The 25000-nt window shown below is 44.0% G+C and overlaps 1 protein-coding gene across 3 annotated transcripts in view, besides 1 other annotated feature; it reads left to right on the top strand.

The window, feature by feature from the left end:
* The window catches only part of FAM171A1 (family with sequence similarity 171 member A1), a 162912-nt gene that overhangs the window by 33588 nt on the left and 104324 nt on the right, over positions 1–25000 (top strand). The window contains exon 1 of one of the 3 annotated variants that reach the window (XM_011519378.3): positions 5944–6710. The exons of the other annotated variants lie outside the window; for them this stretch is intronic. Coding sequence (XP_011517680.1) covers positions 6653–6710 — 58 coding nt within the window. The 5' untranslated portion in view covers positions 5944–6652. Of the gene's footprint in view, positions 1–5943; positions 6711–25000 lie in introns of those variants that run through there. 3 annotated transcript variants of the gene reach the window in all.
* Positions 14770–15969: an enhancer, noted in NCBI's record as "MED14-independent group 3 enhancer chr10:15366997-15368196 (GRCh37/hg19 assembly coordinates)". NCBI's record gives its function as "activates an origin of replication core promoter dependent on BRD2, BRD4, P300/CBP and CDK7 cofactors, and independent of MED14, by STARR-seq in HCT116 cells {active_cell/tissue: HCT116}" and the evidence as "EXISTENCE:reporter gene assay evidence [ECO:0000049][PMID:35650434]".

Raw genomic sequence — 25000 nt, 5'->3', positions numbered from 1 at the left:
ACCATGAAATGTTGATGTCGTCCTGCATTAAAGCCCATGCCCTCCCCACCCTCCATCTCACACCCTTGTTGGTGTAGCCCATCATCTCAATTGTCAAACTCCTGAGTGACATTCTTTCCCCTGGGCTCACAGAGCACACTGGATAGCTTCTGCATGTCACCTCTCTCATGTTATTGGGAGGTGCCCTTTGCTGCTGTGCTCTCAGTATCCAAATACACTCACTATCAAGACCTGCAGAATTGTTTACTCCAAACCACTCCTCAGACTGAAAACCCATTTATTGCATGCGTCCAAGTATGCACAACTCCAGGAGGGAGGTTGTGGAGTGGGCTGCGAATAGCCACCTTCCTCCTAACAGGATGCCAGCTCACAGTGCGTGAAGGTGTCACACATGGGATCCATGGCTGCATGGAGGTGGGGATTTAGGATGAAGGAGAGGCACTAATACAGACAGTTGGGCCTTTGACATAGTGAGTTCAGCATTTGCAGTTTGAACTCAAAGTTCCACAATGCACTGTACTTTATAAGTTTATTGAGGCAGAAATTTCAATATAGTGGGACATGATACCAGTGTGTGAGCAAAGCCTTTTAGGCAGAGGGAGGCCTGTGACTCTCCTGCATCCCATCAACAGGCCCATGTCATCCCCAGCCTTGGTGTATCTGCCACGCACATGTACAAGCAACAACAAAATCCCTTCATCCCTCTTCCTAAAAATTAACTGTGGATAGCCATGAGTCCATACACATAGAAATAAATGACTCATATCCCCATTTACTGATGGGGAGCAGAGACAGTCTCCTACACAGAAGAATTCCAAGTAATGTATGTCTGTACTCTGCCCTTAAGAAGGGGAGTGTTGTGGTTTGGCTGTGCCCCCGCCTACCCAATTCTCATCTTGAATTGTAGCTTCCATAATTCCCACATGTTGTGGGAGGGACCCAGTGGGAGATAATTGAATGATGGGGGCTTTTCCCCCATGCTGTTCTCATGATAGTGCATAAGTCTCACGAGATCTGATGGTTTTATAAGGAGAAACCCCTTTTGCTCAGCTCTCATTCTCTCTTGTCTGCCACCATGTAAGACGTGACTTTCATCTTCTGCTATGATTGTGAGGCCTCCCGAGCCACACGGAACTGTGAGTCCATTAAGCCTCTTTTTCTTTATAAATTACCCAGTCTCGGGTATGTCTTTATCAGCAGCGTGAAGGCAGACGAATACAGGGAGCATAAGTCTTCCCCCATTAAGTGTAGCCTTCCTGACAAAGGTGGGAAGGGAAAGGGGTTGGGTGTAGGAGGAGTAACTAAGCCTGATGAACACTGCCCCAGCCAGATGATCAAGCTCAAGAGCAGCAGCAGTGAATACTGTGGATAGTAGGACCCTAGATATGATGTCATGAGAATGACACTTCACTGCCATGGTCTTCCATTCTGTCATGATGTCAAATCATAAACAAAACATCAGAAAAAGGCCCACATTGAGGGAATCCTGCAAACTACCTGAGCAGCGCTCTTCAGGACTACCATGGTCATCAAAAGCAAGGACAGTCTGAGAAACTGTCATAGCCAAGAGGAGCTAAGGCGCTGTAATGACTAAATGTGATGCGGTACTCAGAAAGGACCCTGGAACAGAAAATGAAAATTAGGGGAAAAAAGCTAAGGAAATCTGAATGAAGTATAGCTCGAGTTAATAATAATACATCCATATTGGTTCACTAATTGCAACTAATATTAATAACCAGAAACTGGGTGAGAGATACATAGGAATTCTCAGTGTTGTCTCTGCAGTTTTTTTGTAAATCAAAAATTATTCTATATTTGAAAGTTTATTAAAAAATAAAATATCTGCCAGGTGTGGATATTTTAAAATTGAGTCATTTACGAGCTTAAAAAACTTAACCTTAGCAGCTGCCCTCAAAACTGTAATCCAGGGCTGGGTGCGGTGGCTCATGCCTATAATCCCAACACTTCGGGAGGCCAAGGCGGGTGGATCACTTGAGGTCAGGAGTTCAAGACCAGCCTGGCCAACATGGCGAAACCCCAGAGTACTAAAAACAAAAAATTAGCTAGGCGTGGTGGCGCATGCCTGTGATCCCAGCTACTTGGGAGGCTGAGGCAGGAGAATCACTTGAACCTGGGAGGTGGAGGTTGCAGGATGCCAAGATCACGCTACTGCATTCCAGCCTGGGTGACAGAGAGACTGTCTCAAAAAATAAAATAAAATATCCCATTGCAGAGACATCACTACACACAAACAAAAAAATCCCAAGAAGAAAGCTAACTGTCGGTGCTGGGGTGGAAATGAAGAGGTTTTAAATGTGTTGCTTGTTAGCTAAAAATACAAGTTTAATAGGATTGAATTTTGGGTCTCTTAATACTATGAGACTATATTCCTCACAAATGTCCTGGGTCTCCTTTTATTTCAGGTAAAATTGATATAAAATACTAGGTCTGTATCATGAATTTATTTATCAGCATTAAGTAAAATACAGGTAAAAGTTGTCAAAACAAATCATTAGCCACAACTGCAGAAGCAAAAGAAGGAATGTAAACTAATGACTTTGCTAATTGCTGTTTCCTTTATTAATTGGTATTCATTTTTTAGTTTGATAGGCACATAATGTATATTGTTTATTTTTATACTGTTGGGAAAGAGCATACAAATAAGTGACTTTTCTCAACTCTTCCCGGTTTGATTTAGAACAAGATTAAATTCTGCTAGTGTTTTGAGAGACACCAGTGTTAAGATTATAGAACTATTAAATTTCCCCTGTACTAAATTTATGTTTGAATATGTAAAATCCTGGTGAAAACTTTGTTTCTGTAGCTCTAAAACTTTGAGCAGATCATCCTTGTCTGGATCAGACCTCAGGTTTCCAAAGTGAAAGGCGTTTAATTGGGCCATTTGTAGTATGCTTGCTAAGAAGAATTCTTTGTTTTTTAAATAGGAATTTATTTATTTGGCACTGTGATTATTGAGCCATAACAGTCTTGATAAAGGGTTTTTTTTGTTTTTTTTAAGATGGAGTCTCGCTCTGTCACCCAGGCTGGAGTACAGTGGCACGATCTTGGCTCACTGCAGCCTCTGCCTCCCAGGTTCAAGTGATTCTCCTGCCTCAGCCTCCCTAGTAGCTGGGACTACAGGCATGCACCACCACGCCCAGCTAACTTTTGTATTTTTTTAGTAGAGTCGGGGTTTTACCGCGTTGGCCAGGCTGTTCTCAAATTCCCGATCTCAAGTGATCCGCTCGCCTCTGCCTCTCAAAGTGCTGGGATTGCAGGCGTAAGCCACCGCGCCAACCCCTACTGCTTATTAAAGCGCTGGGATTGCAGGCGTGAGCCACCGCGCCCAGCCCCTACTGCTTATTAAAGCGCTGGGATTACACGTGTGAGCCACCACACCCGGCCCCTACTGCTTATTAAAGTGCTGGGATTACAGGCGTGAGTCACGGCACCCGGCCCCTACTGCTTATTAAAGTGCTGGGATTACAGGCGGGAGCCACCGCACCCGGCCCCTACTGCTTATTAAAGTGCTGGTTTTGCCCCCTATTTCCAACGGCCTTTGATGTATTGAAACTAAAGATACTCTTTCTATCTTTTCAGCTTAAGCCACCAAAAAGATGAAATGAACTATAATTTAGGAATACCAGGACAATTTCAGGTTCTAATATTAAAGTATAGATCAAAGACCATTTGCATATATTTCTTTTTTAGGGATTTATCCTCTAATTGTTCCAACTCTGGCTCTTTGAAACACAGACCTGAATTATTTTGTATAAAGGTGATAGCAGCCAGGTTCGGTGGCTCACACATGTAATCCTGACACTTTGGGAGGCCACGGCAGGAGGATTGCTTGTGTCCAGGAGTTCAAGGCCATTCTGGGCAACATAGTGAGATACCACCTCTACCAAAAAAAAAAAAAAAATAGCCAACTGTAGTCCTAGCTACTTGGGAGGCTGAGGTGGGAGGATCACTTGAGCCCAAGAGATCGAGGCTGCAGTAAGTTGTGATCACACCACTGTACTCAGCCGGGCAGCAGGGCAAGAGCCTGTCTCAAAAAAAAAAGAAAGAAAGAAAATTCATGGTACACAGTGATCCTGAGTCCTTGAGTTTAAGAACTTATTATCAAAACAGTTGTAGGTGGCCCCATATTCATTTAGTCACTGCAATCATTGTATCCTTGGGGAGGGAAGTCTCTTATGTTAGTTCTGTGAGAAAACATGTTAGTTCTGTCAGTGTACTAATACTTTACACTTAATTGACATTTTATTAACTAAAACCATATTTCCATGGAACTGAAAATAATAGTTGGCATGTACAGTATTTCCTTGGTTCTAAGGAAGCATTTCTGGCCAGACACAACCACATCATAAGTCCGTGTGGATTATAAAACATATCCCCATTTCAGAAATATTAATATGAAATAGAAAAGTTACATCTTAAAATTGAAAAAGTACATGGGACACAGATTTTTGCAGCCCCGAGAAAATGTTACTGTGTGTGGTTTTGTGCTCTTACAAACACCACAGCCCCGTATGTTGACAACCACTGGTTTTAGAGTATGACATCACAGCTTTTTCCATTTCACATGTAGAGGGCAAATATATTGTATATGATAAAACTGCCCTATTTGGTCCTTTTAAAAAAAAAAAAATCTGGGTCTTTTTCAGCCCAGTTATGCCTTAGGAGGAACGTGTGCATAATACCACAAGCCCCATCAACCTGGGGGTGGCAGATGCCATACAGATGGTGGCTTTCCATCCTGGTATGACTCTAGGTTTCTCTGTCCCTAAACTCTATTTCTGAGGGTACCATGCTCTGAGGAACATCTTTTTCATTATTATTCTCTTCTCTCTCAGAATACAACATTGTTGACTTGTGTATAAATCAAACATTTCACAGTTGTCACTCATAAGGACCTCTGACACCACATGCTGTATTAAGTTCCTGATTATTGGGTTAAAAAAAAATCTGAGGTCACTTGCAGGGATTAAAAGAATTCTTTGCAAGGTAAATAATGAAAGCTTAGACAAGTCAGAAACTTGACTCTAGGTAGAAGATAAAAATGAGCCTCATCTTTATTATCAATCTTAAGGATGTATTCCTACTTCCTCTTTCCCTTTTTAATCTGTATTAGAAAAAAAGCAGGGCATCAGTATACACACATTTTTACTCCATTTTCATGGAAACAAAGATAAAGTGTGATTGTACACACTGTTTGCCTCTGCTGAAAAGTGAACCTAACGCACAAAGAATGTGTTCTGGAGTCTAGCCTGAAAATGAAGAAGGCTGAAAGTCCCCTGTCACTTTCAGGCTGTGAATCAAACAAGTTCAGCATCTTTATTTGTCAAATCTCGACATTATTGCTAAATAGAAGCACACTATTTGTAAAATGTTTCATTGCTGTTTAAAATTTAATAATCTCCCTTGGCCCATGTTTTGTTTTTCTTCTATTTGAAAATCCTGATAAGGCAGTTTCGGATTGTGGTTATTTAATACCAGAAAACCTTTTCTTTTGTGCACACTTATTAAACAGATTTTTGAAAGCAGCATTTGTTCATGTAAGTTTATTAAATTATATTTCTTCTTACAAAGTAATGAGAACACTGTTAAAATGAGGTAACTTGTTTGAGTGTGTGTGTTGACTTCTTATCACAGTGTTTAAATCTGTTTTTGTGAATTTTTTTGGGTTTGTTTGTTTGTTTGTCGTTTGTTTTGTTTTGTTTGAGACAGGGTCTCACTCTGTCGCCCAGGCTGGAATGCAGTGGCATGATCTCTGCTCACTGCAAATTCCACCTCCTGGGCTCAAGCAATCCTCCTGCCTCAGCCTCCCAAGTAGCTGAGACTACATAGGTAAGCGCCACCATGCATGGCTGATTTTTGTATATTTTGTAGAGATGGGGTTTCACCCTGTTGCCCAGGCTGGTCTCAAACTCCTGGACCCAAGTGATCTGCCCACTTTGGCCTCCCAAAGTGCTAGGATTGCAGGCGTGAGCCACTGCACTGGGCCTTTATGTGTATCTTGAATCGGGATTTTGTAGAATTTCTGTTGCAACTTGGAAGGCACTTTGGGAAGCCACGCTCATGAACTGCATGTTCTGAACTCATACAACCTTCAAGAAACATTTCTGTAGCATAAAGTGTATTCAGCTACTGTCTCCAGTGGCAGGCAGTACATTCCAAACCATTTTGGAGACTCAAGATAGTATAGTAGAAACAGCTTTGAACCTGCCTTAGAAGATCTGGGGTTTCACAGTTCCCATCGGTGTATTGAAATCTCTGAGAGGTGCCACCTCCAAGAAAAGGATCTTTGTTTAACTCAGGGTCCCTCAGATGTGTTTGTACACCCTTTCCCCCTGCTCTAGGAGCTATTGATGTCCTATGAAGGCAGTTTGGGAAACCCATGTTGAGGATTGGAAATCTTTCTTTTGTTTGGCTTCTTTCAATATAGCGTGAATGTTCTGCAAGCACATGTTGAGTTGGGTTAATTTTAGTTAACCATTCCTGCAGATTATAAACAAAAGTAAGGTTAATAACTTTAGCGGTTAACCACCAAATGTTTCATTCATTGAAGTTTTTGTAAATCATTTACCCTCAGATCTCCTGATTCCCAGAGCAGCAGTGATGCTGGAGTATTTCCCAGCCAGTAAATGGCATGCAAGGAGATGATGGTATCTCCTCTTTCATCCCAGAGCCAAGGTCAAAAACCCAAGGTTAGAGGATGTTTTCTGTTTTTCTATTTCTCATTTGAAAGGGGAATGGGGGCTAGAGAAAAGGGTAATGGCAGTTAAATCACTCCTCAAGGGGATATGTAAAGAGAAGTCCTAGTCTTAGGCCAGAATAATGAAGCCATGACATCTGGGCGAGTTCATTTGCATGTCCATGTTTAGGGCTGGGAATACGCTGGAGAGTCAGGCGCTGTGGATCTGGGAGGAGGCACTCCCCAAGGGAAGGGGCTTTGGAGATTCAGGAGGTAACAGTGAAAGCCTGGCCTAGTGATTCTGGAAGGAAGGCTGATATTGAGACCATGAGCTCTGAAACGACCCCAAAAGGAGCAGGGAAAAGACGGCCAGTATAGGTGGAGGAGCCAATGGAAATAGTTTTTTTTTTTAGTATTCTTTTCTTTTTTTCTCTTTGAGACACGGTCTCACTCTGTCACCCAGGCTAGAGTGCAGTGGCACAATCACTACACTGCAACCTCTGCCTCCCAGCCTCAAGCAATCTTCCCATGACAGTCCCCTGAGTAGCTGGGACTGATGACAGGCCTATGCCACCACACCCAGCTATATTTTTTAGATTTTTTTGTAAAGTTGGGGGTCTCATTATGTTGGCCAGGCTGGTCTTGAACTCCTGGCCTCAAGCAACCTCCCGACTCAGCCTCCCAAAGTGCTGGGATTACAGGTGTGAGCCACCATGTCCAGCCAGAAAGAGTTGTTTTTGGTTGATTGGTTGTCTATTTGTTTGTTTTTTGAGATGGAATCTCACTCTGTCACCCAGGCTGGAGTGCAATGGCGTGATCTCAGCTCACTGCACCCTCCGCCTCCTGGGTTCAGGCAATTCTCCTGTCCTAGCCTCCCAGGTAACTGGGATTACAGGCACACGCCACCACGCCCAGCTAATTTTTGCATTTTTAGTAGAGATGGGGTTTCACCATCACCATATTGGTCAGGCTGGTCTCGAACTCCTGACCTCAGGTGATCCACCCGCCTCGGCCTCCCAAAGTACTGGGATTACAGGCGTGAGCCACAGCACCCAGCCCAGAAAGAGTTTTTAAAGCAGCCCCAGTTCCCAGGACCCAAACGCTAGAAGCCCAGAAGGAAAATGTTGAGTGGACTCTGAAGGGAGCTGAGAATGGGGTCTCAGGACTGTAAGGAGAGTAGCTGTGGACTTCCAGGAGGAGGTTTAAAGGGCAAGCCATTCCTCCTGTCTCATGGGGTTGATGGGGCTGGTGATGGTAAAGGGAAGAGTTGCACTATAGGAGGTATTTGGTGTGCAGGCTCTCTGGTGGGCTCTGTGTTGAGGATGTCTGGGGGAATGACATCGCTTTGCTTGAACACCCTTTAATAGATTATATTCACTCTTCATTATCATAAATACCATTAGATTGCCCAGGGATTCCGAGCTCTTCCTTCCTCGCCATTCTCAGACAGATTCACTGAAATGCTTTCCTCATAGAATACCCATTTCTCAGTTCAATTCTGGAAGAGGATCTGGATGAGAGAAAAAAGGGAGATCACTGTAGGTAATGGAACAGAACAGTTGCATTGCCTGAGGCCCACTGTAGTCAGTGCAATGAGTCTCTGCAACCTGCTTTCTAAGAGAAATGCTACATGTATGCATAAATTCATGACACTCATCATTACAGGTTGGCAAACTCTATCATATGAAGGCCTTTTATTTCTATCGTTGCTTCCATGTATTGATTGGAAAAGCATTGATGGATATGACAAGAGAAAGCATTGCCAAGCAGCGCCCCAGAACCTGTCCCTTTATGGAAGAATGTAGCCCCCATACTGTTGGTGCCCATGCAGCATTGAGAAGTATAGAAAGTCACTGGCTTAAAAAAATAAAACAGAACCATTGGGCATTTCTCAAAGTCCAAGTAAACCAAATGTTCCGTCTCATGTTCTAGAAAGGAAAATACTGGATTGCTTCTTGGTTAATGTTGCTTAAAAGGTGAGCATAAAATACAAGTGCTTTAAAATGCAAGTCCTGGCCTGGCGTGGTGGCTCACTCCTGTAATCCTAGCACTCTGGGAGGCAGAGGCAGGCAGATTGTCTGAGTTCAGGAGTTCGAGACCAACCTGGGCAACATGTTGCAAAACCCCATCTCTACTAAAAATACAAAAAATTAGCTGGGCATGGTGGTGCCCACCTGTAATCCCAGCTACTACCTGGGAGGCTGAGGCACGAGAATTGCCTGAACCTGGGAGGCAGAGGTTGCAGTGAGCCAAGATCGCGCCATTGCACTCCAGCCTGGGTAACAGAGCAAGACTCTGTCTAAAAAACGAAATGCAAGGCCTAAATTTCAGGTGCTCTAGATAATACCTCAGGTCTTGAATCTTAATTGTTTCATATATATATATATATGTATACACACACATATATATACACACATATATATACACACATATATATACACACATATATATACCCACATATATACATATATACACACACACATCTATACATATATATACCCACATATATATATACATACACACACACACACACATATATATAAAACATCAGTCCTGTAATTGGCCTGTGTTTGTCTTTTGGGTGTGCAGTATTCCAGGCACTCCCTAAAGCTTTGGACCCTCAGGGATAAGGAGTGGCTGCTGGAACCAGGAGTATGATGAAAGAGTATTTCTAGAGCTAAGTTTTAATGTTCTGATATTGGTGGTTACATTTTTTAGATTGTCCAGAATGCCTGTTTCTCAATCTTCTGCCCTTGTATAAGGTCTCAGAAACACGCCTTTGGTGTCCAGCACAAGCCTGCTGTGCCCATCTGTGTTCATAGGTGGGAGATACTTCCAGAACTGTCCAGGAGAGGCCAGGTAGTATGGTAAAACGTCTTTTGAAATTCAGTTAGAAGACCGGGGTCTTCCAACTTCTGACTCCTCTAACTTTTGAGTCCTGTGACTTTGAGGAAAGTATTCAACTTTTCTAGGCCGCAGCTTCTTCGTTTGCAGTTGCCTGGTGACGCCTCCCCTCCACAGGGATGTTGCTAGGTTTCAGGGGAGTCATATATGCATGCATGTGTGTGAAAACATGCTGTAGGCCGGGTGCGGTGGCTCACACCTGTAATCCCAGCGCTTTGGGAGGCCAAGGCAGTGGATCACTTGAGGTCAGGAGTTTGAGACCAGCCTGGCCAACATAGTGAAACCCTGTTTCTACCAAAAATACAAAAATTAGCCAGGCGTGGTGGCGTGCGCCTGTAATCCCAGCTACTTGGGAGACTGAGGCAGGAGAATTGCTTGAACCCAGGAGGCAGAGGTTGCAGTGAGCCGAGATCATGCCACTACACTCCAGCCTGGGCAATGCAGTGAGGACTCCATCTCAAAAAAAAAATAAAATAAAAAATTAGCCAGGTGTGGTGGCACATGACTTTAATCCCAGCTACTCGGGAGGCTGAGGCAGGAGAATTGCTCAAACCTGGGAGGTGGAGGTTACAGTGAGCCAAGATTGTGCCACTGCACTCCAGCCTGGGTGACAGAGTGAGGCTCCATCTCAAAAAAAAAAAAAAAAAAAAAAGAAGAAGAAGAAAAAAATATGCTTCAGAGGCTTCAAAACTGCCTGGGTGTTCAGGAGTGCTTTTTAGGCCATAGTAGAAAAGGTGAGTAAGAGGCTGCCTGTGGGTAACATTTACGTTTGTGTCAGAAATAAACTGAACAGCTTTCAATTGGTTGCACAACACTTATTATTAGGGCAATCTTATTAATAAAGGCCGAAAGAAGTTCTGTGCTAATCTATGAAATCTGAGTATCTGTCATCTCTCTGCCCTTGACTGTCACATCTGCTTTTTCTCTTCTACTTGCATTTACCTATTCCATGACTCCCAAAGAAATGCATTTGTTTACCTTTAAAAATATGAGAGGATCATGATTTTGACACTGTGGTAAAATAATTCAGAAAAAGTCTTGGTCTGTTGCCCAGGCTGGGGTGCAGTGGTGCAATCTTGGCTCACTGCAACCTCCACCTGCCGGGTTCAGGCGATTCTCCTGCTTCTTCCCTAGTAGCTGGGATTACAGGCGTGCACCACCATGCCAGGCTAATTTTTGTATTTTTAGTAGAGATGGAGTTTCACTATGTAGGCCAGGCTGATCTCGAACTCCTGACTTCAAGTGATCCACCTGCCTCAGTCTCCCAAAGTGCTGGGATTACAGGTGTGAGCCACCACGCCCAGCCCTCACAGGGAAAATGTTTACCAGGAGAATTAAACTTATAATATTCAGTGATTTGCAGTGCCATACTATGCAAGAAAGTGCTTATCTTAAATGCATTCCACAAAAGTCCTCTTTAAGTTTACCAGAAACAACTTAAAAGTGGCTTAAACAGTAAAGGGAGCATTGCTTTATGAGACTAAAAAGCCAAAGGTAGTGTGCGGGCCTGAGACAAAGCTTGGCAGGGCTTAGCAGTGTCACTGAAGGTTCCAGTTTCTTTCTGTCTACTTAGTTCTCAAATGGTATCAATTTTATTCTAAGGCAGACTCCCCTTGTGATCTGAAAATGACTTCCCGTAGCTTCTTAGGGCCATATGTATCCCTGTCCCCAGCATTCCCTGAAAAGCTGTGTTACTTGTTCTTATTGAGTCAGCTCATCCTTTTTTTTTTTTTTTTTTAAGTGAGATGGTATTGCCCTGCTGTCCAGGCTGGAGTGCAGTGGCATGATCACGTTTCACTGCAGCTTCAACTTCCTGGGCTCATGGGATCCTCCTACCTCATTCTCCTGAGTAGCTGGGACTCCAGATGTGCACAGGTGTGCCTGGCTAATTTTCACCATGTTACCCAGGCTGGTCTCAAACTCCTGGGCACTCAAGCAGTCCTCCTGCCTTGGCCTCACAAAGTGCTGGGATTACAATTGTGCGCCACCAAGCCTGGCGTGGCCCAGCTCATTCTGAATTGAATTTCACCTCTGGAGCCGATAGAACCACAAGTGGAAATTGGTGACTAGGCCAACAGTGGTTTCCCTGCAGCCTACATCTGTTGCATCCGGCTGGTTGGTCAGCACTCTTATTTATAAGCTCTCAGTTTGTAGTTCAAGTTAGTATACCTCCTTTAAACATACACATGAATATCTACTAAAAATATGCAGTACTTGGCTGTTCACATAGTTCTTTAATATTTTGATTCTCAACCTTCTTCCCGACATCACCACATCTGAGGGCGTCCTCCCACCTGTCACCGTGTCAGCAGCAGTGACCCACTGCCCGGTGGCTTCAGCAGTGCTGTTTATGTGCGGCGTGACTGAAAGTGGATTACTTAACCGCTGAGCCACAGGTTCTTGGTGTAACTTTCCCTCTTTACAGAGTTGTTTTGCATGTTTGCCAGGATGACATATCTGTCAAAAGAAGCCCAATGAGGGACCCGAGGTTTCTGATGTCCATACTGATAGTGAGAGGCAGGATGAAGGCTGGCCAAATCTGGTGGTGCCCTGGGGATACCTGTATTTGGTGGGGCCTAAAACTTGAGGTAAGGATGGTTGCCAGGGCCTGGGCTGTGTGAACATGAGGTTGCCAGATCCCCAAGGCTAGACAATTGGACCCAAAAATAGGTGAGGAAATCAAGGAAGCTGATGAAAGAAGAGTAGTGATGTCAACCAAGTAGAAGCAGCCAGATGCCTGCACTACTGCAGCTCAGGAAAACCCGAGCTTGAGCTAATGCTGTTGCCTGAGCAGAGCAAGTTACCGAAACAGCATATTGCCCCCACAGTTCTCCAGGTATCCGCGTCGCTCTGTATCCAGGGTTAAACTACAAGGCATCTTGTTCAAAATAGCTCAGTTCCTGATTTAAAACAACAACAGGCCAGGCGCCGTGGTTCATGCCTGTAATCCCAGCACCTTTGGGAGGCCGAGGCGGGTGGATCACCTGACGTCAGGAGTCCAAGACCAGCCTTCCCAACATGGTGAAACCCCGTCTCTACTAAAAATACAAAAAATTAGCTGGGCTTGGTGGTGGGCGCCTGTGATCCCAGCTACTGGAGAGGCTGAGGCAGGAGAATCTCTTGAACCCAGGAGGTGGAGGTTGCAGTGAGCTGAGATCGCACCATTGCACTCCAGCCTGGGCGACAAGAGCGAAACTCCATCTCGGAAAAAATTTTAAAAAACAGTCATTTAATATTTATCTTTAGAAAGGTTTTTTTTTTTTTTGGTTTGTTTTTTGGGTTTTTTTGAAGGCTGCAAAAGTACCTGGTGGATTTAAGCAATGGCAACATCATTATTTCTGTCTACAGTGTTCTGAGGCAAGTTTTCGGACTGAGAGTTTTAGACCGAGATTACTAATTAGGTAATCTCTGATTTTTTTTTTTTTTTACTTTTATTTTAGGTGCAGGGGATACATGTACAGGTTTGTGATATGGGTAAATTGTGTGTCACGGGGGTGGTAGGGTTTAGTGTGCAGATAATTTTGTCACCCAGGTAATAGGCATAGTACCAAATACATAGTTTTTCCATTCTCTCCTTCCTGCCAACCTGCACCCTCAAGTAGGCCCATGTGTCTGTTATTTCCTTCTTTATGTCCATGTGTTCTCAATGTTTAGCTTATATTTATGAGTGAGAACATGTGGCATTTATCATATTCCTTATTTATTTATTTATTTAGAGACAGAGTCTTGTTTTGTCTCCCAGGCTAGACTGCAGTGGTGCAATCACGGCTCACTGCAGCCTTGACCTCCTGGTCTCAGGTGATCCTCCTGCCTCAGCCTCCTGAGTAGCTGGGATTATAGGCACGTGCTAGCACGCCCAGCTAATTTCTATGTTTTTTTGTAGAGATGGGGTTTCACCCTGTTGCCCACACTGGTCTTGAACTACTGGGCTCAAGCGATCTGCCTGCCTTGGCCTCCCAAAGTGCTGAGATAACGGACGTGAGCCACCGTGCCCAGTCATATTTGTGACATTCTTATAGAAATAATAATAGTCAGTAGCATCTAGTGAGCGCTGAGCACATGCCAGGCACAGTTTTCAGCATTGACTGGTTTATTCCCCTAATAATCTATGAGGTGAGTGGCCTAGGGGGTAGGCAGCTTGCTCTTGCTCAAGCTTACACAGCTGATAATGGGTAGAGCTGGGATTGGATTTGAACCCAGGTAGTCTGACTCCAGAGCTGTTGGCCACCATACTATCATGCCTCCTAGGGATTTCATCTTGGTTAATTTTTTTAAGGGAATGCTTGATCTAAAACTTACAGCTCACATTAATTTTTGATCAGTACTTGAGGGAGGAAAGAGATGGTTGGCTATTTGTGTACATTCATTGCCACATTTTGGTGATGAAAAACCACAACATGTGGCTGTGTCCTCCTGACCAACAAAAACAAGAATTGTAGCCGGAGTGTCGTGGGCCACGCCTGTAATCCCAGCCCTTTAGGAAGCCAGGGTGGGTGGATCACTTGAGGTCAGGAGTTCAAAACCAGCCTGGCTAACATGCCAAAACCCTGTCTCTACTAAAAATACAAAAATTAGCTGGGTATGATGGCAGGCACCTGTAATCCCAGCTACCTGGGAGGCTGAGGGAGCAGAATCGCTTGAACCTGGGGGACAGAGGCTGCAGTGAGCCAAGATCATGCCACTGCACTCCATCCTGGGTAACAGAGTGAGACTCCATCTTAAAAAACAAACAACAAGAATTGTAAGAAACCTAGCTGGGTGTGGTGGCTCACACTTGTAATCCCAGCACTTTGGGAGGCCGAGGCAGGTGGATCACCTGAGGTCAGGAGTTCGAGACCGCCTGACCAACATGGCAAAACCCCATCTCTACTAAAAATACAGAAATTAGCCGGGAGTAGTGGCTCACACCTGTATTCCCAGCTACCTGGGAGGCTGAGACAGGAGAATCGCTTGAACCCAGGAGGTGGAGGTTGCAGTAAGCCAGGAGCATGCCACTGCACTCCAGCCTGGATGACAGAGCGAGATGCCGTCTCAAAACAAAAAAAAAAGAATTGTGGGATTGTGGGAAACTCTTCCTCTCACCAAAGGCAGCCGTTTGAGACTAATTTTTAATTACTTCCTGAGCCTACTTCACCAAACGATCTATGAGTGAAATGACTGAGTGAAATGATGGGTTACAGGGGAGGCAGAGAACATAAGTCCTCTGGTGACTCTTGAGTTATTAATGGAACATAAAATAGAAGAATCTAAACTTTCCCAACAGATAAATTAGGGAGTAATTAGCTGCAGAGGAAAATGATTATATTTCTTTTGCTGAACAGTTCGTGATGGATTTCCTAATCTTGAACCTCCTTGGGGTATTTACAATGTGATTTGATGTAGCGATGTTTAATCTGTACTGGGTTGAAGTCAGTCAGAAATGTGGTTTACAAGTAAGAGTCTGAATTGTTTAAAATGAATGCGAGAGGACAGGATGATGGACTTGGCAGAGCCCTTTCTTTTTACTTCCTATGACTCATCTTCACCCAGGTCGGAGTGAAACAGCACTTCCCTACCGCATTCACACTCAATGTCCCGTCATTCACTTCCTGGTCCAATTGGACGTGGAAGCCAAGCACGACCGTGGGCGAAGATGAGCGTGTAACATGGAGATAAGACAAATGGGATGTCCATGCCAGGATTTAGCCAATATCAAAGCTTGATTCTACTCCGTGGGGCCCATGGAACGCAGTAAGCTTTCAGGAAGTGAGTTCCAGCATAATGGAAAGCCCCTGACATAAGCTAGAAGTATCTGGGGTCCACAGAAAGGCCTGGAAAAGAAGCAAAGAAAAGATGGAGTTTTTTTGTTTTGTTTTTTAGAGATGGAGTATCACTCTGTCGCTCAAGCTGGAGTACGGTGGCTCCATCGTAGCTCACCGCAGACTCAGCTGCCTGGACTCAAGTGATCCTCCCACCTCAGCCTCCCAAGCAGCTGGGACTACAGACTAGGGCTACCACACCTGGCTAATTTTTGTATTTTTCGTAGAGACGAGGTTTTGCCTTGTTGCCTAGGCTGATCTCGAGCTTGGTCTCGAACTCCTGGGCTCAAGTGTTCTGCCCACCTCGGCCTGCCAAAGTGCTGGAATTACAGGTGTGAGCCCCGGGCCTTCAACTGTCCTTAAAAGTTCTCTGTCTGCTTCAGAAAGAACAGCTGGAACAGCTGGAAATTGTAGAGTGTTTTCTGCATACATTTTGCACCAAAGAGGACATAGAACTCCCCTGGCTGTCAGGGAAGGAGGAAAGGAGTGGGGAGCTCATCTCATTATTAGCCAGTTTATTCCCATTAGATATTTATCATTAGACACACGTGATGTGCCTCTAGCTTTTCGCAAGTCTTGTCACTCACCTTGCCTTTTCCATTTTGTTGGGAATCCTCAGATGCGGAGTGCAAGTGCTGGCTGTAACGAGTCACTGCACATGTTTCTACTCAGTGATTGGAAGTGTAAAAGTCCTTATTTAGTACAAGTTGGTCTGCCTGTGATATGTTACTGAATCCGTGACTAAGTTGTGGTTTCTATCATGACAACAAAGATATTGATGGTGGAGTTGGTTTGGTTTTTTTGTCCTTTTTTTTGTGGACTTTTTTTTTTCCCCCTCACTCTTGAAACTAAGGCTGTTTAATCCACGCTGGTGGTTAAGATGATTTTAAGATTGTCAGTAGGAAACCTCTAAACATTCCTTGGTTAGACGTGTGCAGTGTGAGTGAAGCCACCACTGAAAACCAACAGTAAATCTCAGCCGACTGTGCAGGATGGCCAGCTAGCGCACGGGGCTGCAGGTTGGCTGGAGCTGATGCCACAAAAAAATACTTTAGTATAGTCTAAAGGTAGCTGATTGCCTGGAGAAGATGATAAAAATTTGGAATATTCACGATACGTTATGGGGATAGAATATATTTGGTTACAGTACATAAAGAATGTTTCCTCCAAAGAAAGAACGGGAGGGAGCTCCTGAAGAGTGTGTCATTTGAGGATGGGGGAAGGACCTGCATTGCCTGGGGCATCTACCCCAAGCAAACCCTGCTGAGCGTGGACTTCTCTGCTTGAATCACCCCGTCTTCCTTTAGGAAAAGACGGAGAAAGGAAGGAAGTTGGGTCTCAGTTGCGCATGCAGCAAGTAGATGTCTTGGTGTTAAATTCTCCATTAATCAGAACCAGGCATTCTGAATGTTAATTTCCATCCTAAATTTTACACGTGCTGGGGTGGAGGTTAAGGCTCAGATTTATCTTGCTAAGAGCCACTTTGCTTGCCAACTATTTATGAATTTCAGGAATTAGAGCTAAAAGTTGCGTGATTGCAGGGCTGGCAAATGGGCTAACCAGCATCGTTTCCATTTTTGATGCTCCATTTTGAAATGGTTTATGCTCTATGTGGACTTTTTCACTGTTATATTTTTAGTGGCACTGAAAGTGGAAGTCTTTCCTGGCAAGTAGGTGCTATGGCTTTTAAACTGCACTGTGTTTAAGGATTTTTTTTTTTTAATTGTTGAAAGTAGACTAGGCACTGTATGGCACTGCAATCCTAATACCGTGTTCCTTCCTTCCAACTCTTATTGCTTCTCACTTTAAGTAAAATCCTAACATAGAGGGTATAAAATACCACGTCCTTTTCACAAAACTGTTCTGATTGTGGAAGTGTATGCATTGGGCTGTTTTAGCCTGATGCCATTAAAATGTTTTGAATCCTATAATTAGCTCCCCTTTTTCTAATTCTATATGCCCACCAAGTCCATTTCTGATTATAAATTGGCTTGTTGAATAGATCTGCCTGCAGGGGAGAGAACGTACTGATCGTATGATGATACCATTGCCATCTTAAAAAGAGGTGTACTTTATTTTGTTTTTTTATTTTATTTATGTATGTATTTATTTTTGAGACAGAGTCTTGCTCTTGTCGCCCAGGCTGGAGTGCAATGGCGTGATCTCTGCTCACTGCAACCCCTGCCTCCCGGGTTCAAGCAATTCTCCTGTCTCAGCTTCCCAAGTAGCTGGGATTACAGATGCGTGCCACCACACCAAGCTAATTTTTGTATTTTTAGTAGAGGCGGGGTTTCACCATGCTGGCCAGGCTGGTCTCGAACTCCTGACCTACTGATCCACCTGCCTCAACCTCCCAAAGTGCTGGGATTACAGGCATGAGCCACCACACCCGGCCCTGTAATTTAAGTTTTAATTTTTTTTTTTTTTTTTGAGACAGTCTTGCTCTGTTGCCCAGACTGGAGTGCAGCGGTGTGATGTCAGCCCACCACAACCTCCCCTTCCCAAATTCAAGCAATTCTCATGCCTCAGCCTCCCTAGTAGCTGGGATTATAGGCGTGCACCACCACGCCCGTCTAATTTTTGTATATTTAGTAGAGACAGGGTTTCGCCATGTTGGCCAGGCTGGTCTCGAACTCCTGGCCTCAAGGGATCCACCCACCTGGGCCTCCCAAAGTGCTGGGATTACAGACATGAGTCACTGCCCCCAGCCAAAAAAAAGGTGTACTTTTTATTGCAAATGAAGACCTTGGTCATTTGTTTGCATCGATCAGTCTCTGATGCCTGATGAAGATAAGTCCATTCTGGGGGCAAGATCTCCATCAGGGCTAAGGACCAGACCCCAAACACTGAGGTGAATTTACCAAAATGACCCCACTCTGGAGGGCTACTTGGTGGACAGCTTCCTTGCTATGTCTGGAAGAACCCTGTCTTCCTTCGGGCTGTCGGCTTGAAACATGAACAGTTACTATTAAATGGGTTTGGGAACAATGACTGATAGTACCAGCTGGAGATCAGTGCAGCTGAATGCATGCAGTGTCCTTTTGGGGGTACCTTAGAGATAATCAGCCCTAACTCCACCTAGCTGCTGCTACAGTTCAGGTGAGGGAAATGCTAACCCTTAAGACAATTCCTTTAAATCTGCAGACTATTTTATGTAACATGGATGGAGCAGGATGGAAAATAATTAAAATAAATTCCTCTTTTAAAAATACACTTAACATAAATAAGACTAGTTCGAGTGTTGGAAAGCATTCTGGAAAAGAAAACCTGGTCATGAACCAAGTAGAAATCCCTTGGCAGCCGACGGCCCCTCCAGCTGTATTCAGTTATTGAACAGCTGTCAAAGAAAGCAACGCATTATTTGTCCATTTAGAACAATTTCAGAAAGCTGTTTTCAACCCCCAATGGTATTTTTCTGCAGCCTTCTAATCTCTGCAAAGGGTTTAAAAGATATAATAACCCATGCTTGTATCGGGCCTGAGGTTACCACCAGAGCATGGAGACACAGTGAGCAAGTTCATGTGAAAGGAATTAGAACCATTAGAATTTTATTTCCTGCAGAATGTAGCACCATGGCACATAATCATATGTGGCTGTCTTGGCTCAAAGTCAGCAACAGTATCTACTATTTGTTTCTCAACTACATGACAAATATTATAAGATAAAAACCAGTGCTGTGTGTGTTCCTTGCTTAACTAAAGAGTTGGAAACCACTATTAGGTGAATTTCTATCTTAAGCATTTTATCTTACAGAGCGGCTGAGACTGGCTAGTTTTATGAGCTTGTAATGATATGAAATACAGGCAACACAGTCTTTCTTTTTGACTTAATGCTCAAACCATTTTGGTTTGGAAGCCTCAGCTTTCTTTTCTGTTTTCATTAAAGGGTTCAGGCTTCTGACCAGGAATGCCAGTATTTGCATATATCAAAATTCTAGACTCAGAAAAACTCAAAGTTTGTCTTTTGGTTTTTCTTTGTGGTTGGTGTTTGCCAAAAAAGTTTTTATTTTAGTGAAAGTGTTACAAAATTGGAAATCCACTATTTGACTGTGAAACCAGGGCATAGTTTTAGTTGTAAAAAAAAGCTTTTAAAAAATCTGTTTTGTGGCTTCTGAGACATGAAGTGTTTTGACACTGTGGACTTCTCATTGTTAAGTGTTTGTAAGTATTTCAGAGAGGTATCCTTCTAGGAATGGGAGAGGGCAGACAGCCCACACGAGAACACAGCTTGTTTCTCAAGACCCCTGAACATAAATTGGGGTTCACTTTCAGGAAATCAAGGCCCAGGGTCTACTGGACTTTCCAGTTAACTTGCGCTTACCTAAACAGAAATTCTCCTGCAGGGAATTCATATGCACCATCTTCTCTCTTATTTAAAGCATCTAGTATTTGTGCTTTGAATATTCCAAAAAACATATGCCGTATTATCTTGACTACCTTTCCCCAGTAGCAAACTTGAACATATAAGGATATTCTTCTAGGTGGCTCTCTTCAATCAGGCCCCAAATGACCAGATGTCAAATAAGCCAACATAAACTTGACAGTGATCCTGGCTTTGAATGCCAAGGTCAACACAGCATTCACCCGTGTTACATCCCCATTAAACTCTCTTCAGTTACAGTACCCAGGCAGAATTTGTGTTAGACAGAGTGAAAGTTGTCTGCATTGCTTAAAACCTTTCATACTTTTCATTGATAATTTTTCAGTCTTTCTACTACACAATGTTAGTACGATTGTTAAGTTAGAATTAGATGAAAGTTATTATGTGCAAACTTACTGTGTGGTCTAAAATGGCCAATCTCACTTCTCAAAAGAAGACATACACATGGCCAACAAACAGGAAGAAAATGCTTATCATTAGAGAAATGCAGATCAAAACCACAATGAGATACCATCTCATACCAGTCAGAATGGCTATTATTAAAAAGTCAAAAAATAACATGCTGGTGAGGTTGTGGAGAAAAAGGAACACTTATACACTGCTGGTGGGAATGTAAGTTAGTTCAGCCACTATTGGAAAGCAATTTGGAAATTTCTCAAAGAACTTAAAACAGAACTGCCATTCGACCTGGCAATCCCATTACATTTATACCTAAAGGAATATAAATCGTTCTGCCATAAAGAGACATGTACGCATATGTTTATCGCAGCACTATTCACAATAGCAAAAATGTGAAATCAACCTAGAAGCCCATCAAATGGTGGACTGGAAGAAGACAGTGTGGTACATATATGCCATGGAATACTATGCAGCCGTTAAAAAGAATGAAATCATGTGCTTTGCAGCAACATGGATCAACTGGAGGCCATTATCCTAAGTGAATTAATGCAGGAACAGGAAACTGAATACCACGTTCTCACTTATAAGTGGGAGCTAAACACTGAGTATACATGGACACAAAGAAGGGAAGAGACACCGGGGCCTACTTGAGAGTGGAGGGTGGGAGGAGGGTGAGGATAGAAATACTACCTCTTGGGGACTATGTTCATTACCTGGGTGACAAAATAACCTGCATACTAAATTCTCAGGACATGCAGTTTACTCATGTAACATGCAGTTTACTCATGTCACAAACCCCTGAAGCTAAAATAACAATTGGAAAGAAATAAAAGTTTAAAAAGTCAATCTAATTTTTGAATATTTTATATTATAGATAAATGTTTTTACCTGATGTTCTCATTAAAAGAGTTACAGATGGAGGAGAGTTTTACAAAACCTTTTATATGGGTTCTGTCCCTTCCTTGAGTTCTTGGATGAAGGGATTATGTCTGTTTTTGTTGGTTCCTCTACCTCCACCCGACTTTTGAGAAGGTCTAGGTTCAAAATCCCTGGACAGACCAGGCGGGGTGGCTCATGCCTGTAATCCCAGCACTTTGGGAGGCCAAGGTGGGCAGACCACCTGAGGTCAGGAGTTCGAGACCAGCCTGGCCAACATGGTGAAACCCCGTCTCTACAAAATAGACAAAAATTAGCTGGCTGTGGTTGTGCATGCCTATAATTCTAGCTACTCAGGAGGTTGAGACATGAGAATCACTTGAACCTGGGATGTGGAGGTTGCAGTGAGCCAAGATCGTGCCACTGCACTCCAGCCTGCACAATAGGGTGAGACTCCATGTCAAAAAATAAAAATAAAAAAAATCCCTGGACTATTGTTCTTTCTTTTATCCCTCACCCCCATCCCATCCTTCCCTCTGAGTCCCCAAAGTCCATTGTATCTTTTTTATGCCTTTGTGTCCTCATAGCTTAGCTCCCACCTGGGCACTTAGTAATTGGGGGAGGGGAAGGAGACGTATCATTTTTCTTCTCTGGTGAACGTGGACTTTTCTGCTGGAATGAACAACTGATGGAAAAAGAGGTAGACATCCCATGAGTCAGTTGAAAGACCGTCACCTCCACAGGCATGCTGTAGAAATGGACATATGTGCCATGTCTCCTTTCCACCCTGTGGAGTCAGCCTTTATCCCTCCAGACGTGTCACCTGCAACTCAACATTCCTGGTTATTCTCTGAGCACATTGATGGCCTCCTGTAGACCAAAGTATGGAAGGCAGTGGATGTCACACTGGTGACTTTGTGGTCTTCTTGATGTTCTTCTCCTCCTTTGGTCCCCTCTCAAGTGTTTATAAACCCTCTTGGAACTATGAGCAGGCCTGAGTTTCCCTCTTGTGACTCTAAGGATCAGGATGTCACACCTTTGCCAGTAACAGCATGGAACTGCCTCATCTTCTGCTGTAGTGAGAGAGGCACAGGTATGATCCCAAAATAGTGAGGGTCTCCCCATCTCCAGTATCCAGGCTAGGGTGCTGTGCTCCATTGACAGCCCCACATCTAGACTCCTATAAGGTCTTAAAGGGAGGGGATGAGAATTAAAATATTAAACACACTTGAAAGGGAGGAAATAGAATTAAACACACTCTAACAGAGAAAGCATGAGATGACACACACCTCCAACTCTTAAAAACAACTGACCTACGTACTGATGGGAACCAGCTCCGGCATTTGGTAGGGGATTTGGCCCAAGATTTCTGTCACCCGGGATCCAAAAGGGAGCATCTTAGAGGACACAGACTACTTGGAGGAAGGCAAATGCATTTCTCTGCAAGAGGCCAAAGTTGATTGCCTTTTTCTGTATAGACTTACCGCACGCAGATAAGTAACCAGCTTCGTGACCCCTTCTTGGTGCAGCACTGGGACTGATCACTGAGCTCAGTAGCTTTTCCCTTCCGGGAAGGACCAAGCAGAACTTCAGCTCCACCTGGGAGGATTCCCGAATCTCTTTCTCCGGATTCACTGGCTCTGGGAATTGAGGAAGAATCTCTGGCTCCTGAAAAATTTCCGGCTCCTGCTATTCTTCCTTACACCGTATCTCATCACACCCCTCTCCTGCTGGTCACATTTCAGCTCTCTTTATTGCCAAGACCATGTGTCTCCAGAATTTTGTGATTGCATACCTCTAGTGATAAAACTGAGTGTGAGGCCAGGTGCTATGGGTCACCCCTGTAATCCTAGCACTTTGGGAAGCCAGGCGGGAGGATCACTTGAGCCCAAGAGTTCAAGACCAACCTGGGCAACATAGTGAGACCCCATCTCTGCAAAAGAATGTTTTAAAAATTAGCCAGGTGTGGTAGCACATGCCTGTAGTCCCAGCTACTCAGGAGGCTGAGGCAGGAGAATTGGTTGAGCCCAGGAGATGGAGGCTGCAGTAAGCCATGATCGTGCCACTGCACTCCAGCCTGGGCAACAGAGCAAGACCCTGTCTCAAAAAGTAAATTAGTGCCTGAATAAATAATAATAAATAAAATTGAGCATGGACCCTAGTGGGTATATATTTATGAATTACATGATGCCAGATGTATCTGTATAAAATATCAGTGCAGGCTGGGCATGGTGGCTCACGCCTGTAATCCCAGCATTTTGGGAGGCTGAGGCAGGCAGATCACAAGGTCAGGAGTTTGAGACCAGCCTGGCCAATATGGTGAAACCACGTCTCTACTAAACATACAAAAATTAGCCAGGCGTGGTGGCGCATGCCTGTAATCCCAGCTAGTAGGGAGGCTGAGGCAGGAGAGTCGCTTGAACCTGGGAAGTGGAGGTCGTAGAAGCTGAGATCGTACCACTACACTCCAGTCTGGGCAACAGAGCAAGTCTCCATCTTGAATAAATAAAATTAAAATTAAAAAAAATAAAATATGAGCGCAACCAGACTTCATTTTTAGATAGCACTGTTTATAAGTAGTTTTATGCTTCGTGTTAGTGACCCCTGGCCTGCAGGATAAACCCAGCCCTTATCTGTGGCATTCAAGTTTCTAAAGCTGAATGCGACCCCTGTCTCTCTCCCGTCATGACTTCCTGGCCTTGCCTTTCCTCAGTGTCTGCACATCCCACTCCCAACATACGCCTTTCTTTCTGCATCTCTTTTCTTTGTCTGGTGGCCCCTCCCTGTGTCCTGTTTCCGTGACTGGGAAAGGCCTATATTTTTTTCCTATACAACTGTTGCCACCTTGTGATTTTTTTTTTTTTTCTCCCAGAGGAGATCTGTCTGGGAGCTCTCCTGCTAGACAGAGCAGGGGCAGCTCCAGTGCTGGTGAACTCTTCAGTCCTTGCATCACCCGGACCCACTGTGGGGCTGCAGATGGGCAGAACTGTCTTCTCTTTTACATTGTGCTGGAGAATGCGTGAGTCTGTCTTGGAATAAATCTTTTAAAGTAAAACTGCTTGTCAAAGCACATGTGCGTTGGAGACTTTGGTGATGGTTGTTGCCAGATATCCCTGCGGAGGGGCCATTCACACTTGTATTCCTACCGGGAGTGAACGTTGAATGCCTGTTTTGCCATAGTTATGCCAACACAGTAAATTATCCAACGTTTGGATTTCTGCCAGTCAGGTAAGAACCTGGCATCTCACCTTTGAGATCAGAAACAGCTGCTTTCTGGGATTCCACCTGGGCTTCCCTGCTTATTGAAAGGCAAGCACAAAAGTTATTGGTTGGAGGTGTCCTGTCCATTCTATCATCACTAAGTCAGCATCTTGGAAGGTCTGGAGCCTGCAGACTGGAATGGTTTCTTAGAACCAGGGTAGCCAGACACATGGACTCACCCCGAGGAATGCTCTCCTACAAGCAGGGTCTCACGAAGCCCGTCACCTGACAGTTGTTGACTTTACCTTGCGGGACGCCCCAGAACAAACACACGCAGCAGGAATGGCCTGGTGAGGGAAGGAGGCCACGCGCTGCCCTCCTGGGGCACCACCCCTGGTGCTTCTCAAGCATTCCAGAGGCAGCCTGACACTCTAAACAGAAAATACAGCTGCTCAGCAAACCCAGAAATCCCAGTCATTCAAATAAGATAAACCATCGTGCACAAGGGTGCTTGTTGTAAACTTAGAGTAATGAAAACCTAGAAACAACCTGTGAGTTCAAAATAAGGAATAATTATATGACCTATCTGTAAGATGAAAGGGTAAGTTATCCGTAACGTGAGGTTTAGTGACGAAGGAAAATAATTATGTGCTAAAGTGAAGTTAAAACTGTAAAAATGTACATGTAACATAACCTTCCTGCTGTGTAAAGAAAAATTGCAGAAAAAAACACACCTGGGGGAAAT

Source organism: Homo sapiens, chromosome 10 (assembly GCF_000001405.40).
Source record: "Homo sapiens chromosome 10, GRCh38.p14 Primary Assembly".
Taxonomy (NCBI): Eukaryota; Metazoa; Chordata; class Mammalia; order Primates; family Hominidae; genus Homo; species Homo sapiens.
Note: the sequence above shows the minus strand (reverse complement) of the source record. Positions and strands in the feature narration are given on the sequence as shown.